This window comes from Homo sapiens, chromosome 15 (assembly GCF_000001405.40).
Source record: "Homo sapiens chromosome 15, GRCh38.p14 Primary Assembly".
In the NCBI taxonomy this organism is placed as follows: domain Eukaryota; kingdom Metazoa; phylum Chordata; class Mammalia; order Primates; family Hominidae; genus Homo; species Homo sapiens.
The window spans coordinates 89,725,579-89,732,009 of record NC_000015.10 but is presented as its reverse complement, the minus strand read 5'-3'; the positions used below and the strand labels follow the sequence as shown (position 1 = coordinate 89,732,009).

Below are 6,431 nucleotides of genomic sequence, written 5' to 3'. Positions count from 1 at the left end.
TATAGGTCTCTTAGCTCTAATACAATAGAGTTTGCGCTGACTGGGGATGAGACAGAATAGCAGGGAAGAAGACTCACTTATTTAGAGAGCTTGGGGGCTGGGAAGAGGAAGGCTGAGGCCACCATGATCACTTGTACTGTGCCAGACATACTTCTTCACTGGAGTGTAATAATGAAGGCAATGATCATACTTCCAGAGCCTAGTACAGTGCCAGGCTCAGAGAAGTCACTCAATAAACACATGGGCAGTGGGAAGCATTAGCACATATTATATCCAATAAATGTTTGTTGAATAAATGAATGAGAGGGGAGTAGGACCAGTTCCCCAAGGTGACTTTAAGAACACAGAGGTAACAGAAGGCCCAGGGCCTGTGGGAATTCCAGAGCTCCCAGACTCATTGCCCAGAGTCCCACCCAGGTACTAGGTAGAGAGGCAGGGAGGACTTACCTTTGGCCAGGTCCCACAGCGTGAGCACACCATCCTCGCAGGCCAGCACCAGGTAGGAGGAGGAGCAGCTGAGCTGAGAGACTGCAATGGGCGCAGCACAGGGCCACACACCCTCGGGGTCTAGGGGGAAGGACAATACTCAACCGGTTCCCCCAGACTCTGCACCTACCCATCACTTCTACCTGGACAACCTGTGACTCAGACTGGTCTGCCTGTTCAGGGAATGGGAACCAGGAGCACCTGTCTGGACTCACCATCATCCTTCTCTTTATGAAGTGCTATTCTCCTTGCCTAGGATGATAAGATAATGTCACACTGTTTATTATTACTCTACAGCTAATGTTTAATGAGTATGTCCTAGGTGCTAGATACTGTGTTAGGCACTTTACACACATAATTTCATTGCATTCTCACAAGGGTTCTATAAAGTAGTCTTATTAGTATCCCCATTTTATAGATGAGGCAGAGAAGTGACTTGCTCAAGGCCATACAGTCAGTATAGAAGGAGATTAGAAGCCAGGTTGCCTGGGAAAGGGACGGAAGAAAAGAAACTCCTCCTTTGTGAATTTTTTAATGTTACTTTTGAAGTGTAATATAAAGTATAACAAGTGTACAGTTCAAGGAATTATCACAAAGCAAACTTGCTCATGTGACTGCTTCCATTAATTTTTTTTTTTTTGAGACAGGGCCTCACTGTCACCCAGGCTGGAGTGCAGTGGTGCAACCTTGGCTCACTGCAGCCTCAAACTCCTGGGCTCAAGTGATCCTCCTGGCCCAGCCTCCTGAGTAGTTGGGACTACAGGCTCATGCTGCCACGCTTGGCTATTTTTTGTAGAAACAGGGTCTCCTATGTTGCCCAGACTGGTTTCAAACTCCTGGGCTCAAGAGATCCACCTGCCTCTGCCTCCCAAAGTACTGGGATTACAGGCATGAGCCACCACACCTGGTCACCTCCATAAATTTGTAAAACAACAACAACCTATATTTCCTTAGTGCGTTTCAATTTCGAAGAGCTTCACATACAGAAACTCTCTGGATTTTGCTATTTTCAACAAACGCATGCACTAGACAACAATGGTGTAATTAATTAGCTCTATGTTCTGCATGAAAAGTGGGTTGGGGTGTGAAGCGACTGGCCTGAGACTACATGGTTTGCAGACAGCTGGGCTAGGATTAGCACTGACCTTCTGATTCCAAGCCTACTTTCTCAATCTCTCTCTTTTTTTTTTTTTTTTTTTTTGAGATAGTCTTGCTCTGTCACCCAGGCTGGAGTGCAGTGGTGTGATCTTGGCTCACTGCAACCTCTGCCTCCCAGGTTCATGTGATTCTCCTGCCTCAGACTCCCAAGTAGCTGAGATTACAGGCGCATGCCACCATATCCGGCTAATTTTTGTATTTTTAGTAGAGATGGGGTTTCACCATGTTGGCCAGGCTGGTCTTGAACTCCTGACCTCAGGTGATCCACTCGCCTCGGCCTCCCAAAGTGCTGGGATTATAGGCGTGAGCCATTGCGCCCAGCCAAGCTTACTCTCTTTTTACCTTAGCTGCTTAAGGAGCCCTGTGGACCTGACTGTAGACTTTGTCCCTATTGACCTGTTGTCTTTAAGGAACATGACATTTCAGAGACAGATTCTTGCGGTCACACTACACCCACCAAACCCCCTACTGCCTGCCTAGATCTGGTCCCTAAAGTGACACTTGATGTATGTCAGTCACATGCTCTTAGCTAAGCTGGAGAAGGACATGTCTGCAAGTCCTGAGCTTAGGCGACTCCCATCTCAGCAGTAAAGTACCAGCTTTATCCTTTAGAGTTCGGTTTAGTGAATACAGGAAGAAATTGTGACTTCTGGTCCAGTGTATACCAAGGACACAGGCCATTCCTGGTGGGGGGGCGGGGGAAAGACAGAAAATGGGTGTTACACAGGGGGAAATCTGGGTGGCCTTTGGTTTGCACAGAAGGTGTTTGCCCAAGAGAAGCTGGTTTGAAGTCTGAAGTGGTTTGTTTTAATGGGCAGCACCCAAGAGAAGGGTGAGTTTCCCAAGAGAGAGGGACTGGGCAGCCCCATGAGGGCTGTTCCTGGGGCCCACCCGCCTTCTTGCATAGGGAGGACAGTCTCAACTCCCCCTCGGCTGCTTTCACATCTAGAAAATTCACACCCTCAGTGTTTTAAGTAACATCTTCTACAAGACAAACTCATATCCAGAAGCAGCCCGGTGGATGTGGGCTCATGCCTTCTCCTATGGCAACCACTCCCTGAAGGCAGTGCCAGCCTTTGTGATCAGAGAACCTGTGCTCAGGGGCCACAGATGCAAGCAGAAACTGACAGGCTACAGCTGGCAACCAAACTCCCCTCTTCATTCCCTCCTACCATGCGAGGTTTGTTGGGGAACATCTCTGTGGGGGCTTGCTGAGGGGTTTCCCCAAGGTGACTCCTTGCTAGGACAACCACCCACTTCATGTTCATTTACCTGAGGGGCCCTTGACTTCCGGTGGCATTGCAAATAGGCAGCTAGGAAGAAGGAAATAGAAGGTGGCCGTACTGGGAAAGAAAGACACACGAGTCAGAGCCATGTAGACTCCCTGGCAAGGAGAGCTGCTGGCAGAGTCTTGGTCCTAAAACCAGAATAGATAGTTAGAATGGACCTTCCCAGGGGTAAGAAGGCCATGAAGCACATCACATTCTAGGTGCTGGTCCTGGTGGGATGCGCTGACCTTGGATGCTGGTGAGGGCAGGTTGGGTGGGGCTGGGAATCACTCCTAGGCCAGTGTGGTGTGCAGAGCTCTTGCCAGAGACAGCTGTCTTTTGGAGAGCCACTTCTGTTTTGGGGAAGATGTCCTTAAAGAGCAGACTCGGGTGATCTACATAGATGTTCTCTTATCCCAGGGGCAATACAGCCAGTGTTGTGCTGATAACTGGGTCTCTTAAATAAAAGAGGCCCCAATTTATAGGGTTTGCAGATTTTCATGGTGTCAATGCTCCCACAATGGACAACTAACAGTGGTTTAACAACTGGCTTGCAAAACCCTAATTATCTCACTATGCAGTAGGAGCCAGCCCCAGCATACCACTGAATCTTGACGTAGTTCCAGACAGTAACAGGAAGCTGTTGTCAGGGATTAGCCTTAGGACTTTGTGTCCTGAAGTAAGAAAATTTAAGGTCCACTTGACAGCACGAGAGATTTCACTTCCCATGTGAGAACAAGAACATTCCTGAGATCCACAGTAGCTATGAGGAGACCTAATTCCTAAAACCAGCTCCCTCATTGATACTTCAAAGACTGGGGCTCTCCAACACAACTTGGAGCTAATGACACCTAACTGCTCACCAAGATGGGAAAGTCATATATTATAATAATTATACACCTATGCTACATTACATTTAGAAAGGCAGGAAGGAAATGGAGAAAAATTTTAGTAGTGGTGACTTTATTTGTCTTTAGGATCTTCTGTGTTTTTTATTATTTTTTTTAATTATTATTTTTTGAGACAGAGTCTATCTCTGTCCAAGCTACAGTGCAGTGGCGTGATCTCGCCTCACTGCAGCCTCCATCTCCTGGGTTCCAGTGATTCTCCTGCCTCAGCCTCCTAAGTAGCTGGAATTACAGGTGCCCGCCACCATGCCCGGCTAATTGTTGTATTTTTAGTAGAGTCGGTTTCACCGTGTTGACCAGGCTGGTCTCAAACTCCTGGCCTCAGGTAATCTGCATGCCTCAGACTCTCAAAGTGCTGGGATTACAGGCCTGAGCCACCGTGCCCAGCCTCTGTGCTTTTAGATAACTAGAAAAAAAAATTTAAAAAGAAAAAAAAATTTTTAGAGCTGTCATGTATAAAACTGAAATAAATTATATTTCTCATTTCCATAGATATCTATTTCTTCTTTTAACTCCATTATTATCAGCCTTTGTTCTAACTATATAGTAACAATCTCCACACAACATTTCAAAATATCTGCTGATGTTCGCTCAAAATTCTCCCAAACCAGAAAGAGCTTATTTATTTTAGAGATAAGGTCTCGACATGTGGCCCAGGCTGGTCTCAGATTTGGGGGCTCAAATGATCCTCCTGCCTCGGCCTCCCAAAGTGTAGGGATTACAGATGTGGGCCACTGTCCCGGCCCCAGAAAGAGCTTTTAAATCTCAGATTAATTCAGGTCCCTGGGTTGATTCCTGCATGTGCCAAGACAGCAGAAGCCTGGGGATGCTCCCTGGCTTTCCCGGGATTAGGAGGCTCACCTGAGTGGCTCTTCCTCCCACTCCCTATCTAGGTACTTCTTGTAGGAAGCGTTGAAGATCTCAGCTTGCTGCTCCCACTGACTGTCCTTGATGAAATGATTCTGCCCGGAGCCCAGTCCGTAGCAGTCCTTGATCTTTGCAAAGACTTCCAGGGGGCTTTTGAATGTGGTGCCTAGGTTGAAAATATTACAGAATTAGTCAAGCCATGTGACTCCCCCTTTCCTGATTTTCCCCTACTTCTTCCACTCTTCCCAGCTTCCTGCAGAATCCCTCAGCCTCAGAAATCGATTCTTGCTCTGCAATTGGTCTGTATTCAGTCTTCTCCCGGCCTCTCCTGTACCCCACCAGCTCACAGAGCCCAGGCAGAGAGCAGCTGCTGTCCTCCTTCTTCTGTATCTTCATCCCAACATCATTCTCTCTGCTTTTGGATTACAGAATATTTGCAAAGGCCAGGGTGTGGGGGGCGGTGGGGCAGGGAAATGTTCACAATGCCACTGGAGACTTTAGATCACTGTCCCTGTCTCCCCAGCTGAGGAAGGCCCCAGATCTGCCAGTTACCATCACTTTTCAGCCACTGCTGAACACTCACATAATTAGGCAGTCTCAGTCTCTTCTTATGCCAACATTTACCCAATTACCTTCCTTTAAAAAAATCTTTCTCTGTCAGTCACTTTTCTTACTACTTCTCTTCCCAATAACCTTTCATTTCCTTCTTTTTCATCTGTTCCTAAATCCACAGTAAAACTGGATGACTAGTTTTCTGGATTTGCACCCTGAGTTTCAGAATTCTGTTCACTTTGGAAGGTACCTGCGTCCCTCAAGTTGCCCAGGAGATTCCACAGTGCCCTTGACTGCTTCCTCAGAGACAACTGCATAATTTTCTAGAGGCAGACACCAGTTTTATAAACACATAATATCGTATGATACACTAGCTCTCAAAGGACGATGCCAGATCAGCAGTGGCAGAGTCACCTGGGAACTTGTTAAAAATACAGATTCTCAGGGCCCACCCCAGACCTACTGGAATAGAAGAAACTCTGTGGTGGGGCCCAGCAATCTGGGTTGTTTTTTGAGATGGGGGTTGTGTTCTATTGCCCAGGCTAGGCTTGAACTCCTTGGTTCAAGCAATCCTTCCATCTCAGCTTCTTGAGTAGCTGGCACTATAGGCAAACAATCTGGGTTTTAATGAGTTCTCCAAATGAGTCTGATGCAGCTAAAGTTTGAGAATTGCTATTATACATTATTCCCCTTGTATTTTCACTTACTAAAATGTTTTAGAGATTATTTCATATTAGTACTATAGATCCTCTTCATTGTTGCTTATCTTTAGTTATTAAACCTTTTTCTTATTGTGAAGTGTAACATACATTCTGAAAAGAGCATAAAATATATACCTTAATATACCTTAATGAGTTATTATAAAGCAAACCTCTGGTATCATCTACTCAGGTCAAGAAATAGAACATCGGCTGGGTGCGGTAGCTCATGCCTATAATCCCAGCACTTTGGAAGGCCAAGGCAGGAGGATCGCTTGAGCCCCGGAGTTTGAGACCAGCCAGGCAACATGGCAAAATCCCATCTCTACAAAAAATACAAAAATTAGCCAGGCCTGATGGCATGTTCCTGTAGTCCCAGCTACTTGGGAGGCTGAGGTGGGAGGATTGCTTGGGAAGCAGAGGTCACAGTGAGTCGAGATTGTGCCACTGCACTCCAGCCTGGGCGACAGAGGGAGACCCTGTCTCAAAAAGAA

General features: G+C 46.6%; 1 protein-coding gene across 14 annotated transcripts in view; it reads right to left on the bottom strand.

The window, feature by feature from the left end:
- WDR93 (WD repeat domain 93) overlaps positions 1–6,431 on the bottom strand; it is a 53,291-nt gene that overhangs the window by 11,629 nt on the left and 35,231 nt on the right. For 10 of the 14 annotated variants that reach the window (XR_931869.2, XR_931870.1, XM_011521794.3 and 7 more), the window contains 4 exons: positions 4,682–4,853; positions 2,917–2,987; positions 2,241–2,327; positions 448–567 (listed from right to left, as the gene is read on the bottom strand). Coding sequence is in view for 12 of the 14 variants with exons in the window: in XM_011521794.3 (XP_011520096.1) it covers positions 448–567; positions 2,241–2,327; positions 2,917–2,987; positions 4,682–4,853 (450 nt within the window). In the remaining 2 variants the exon portion in view is untranslated. Of the gene's footprint in view, positions 1–77; positions 159–447; positions 568–2,240; positions 2,328–2,916; positions 3,062–3,858; positions 4,227–4,681; positions 4,854–6,431 lie in introns of those variants that run through there. The other 4 variants (XM_006720618.2, XM_006720615.2, XM_011521802.2 and 1 more) reach the window with 4 other exon arrangements.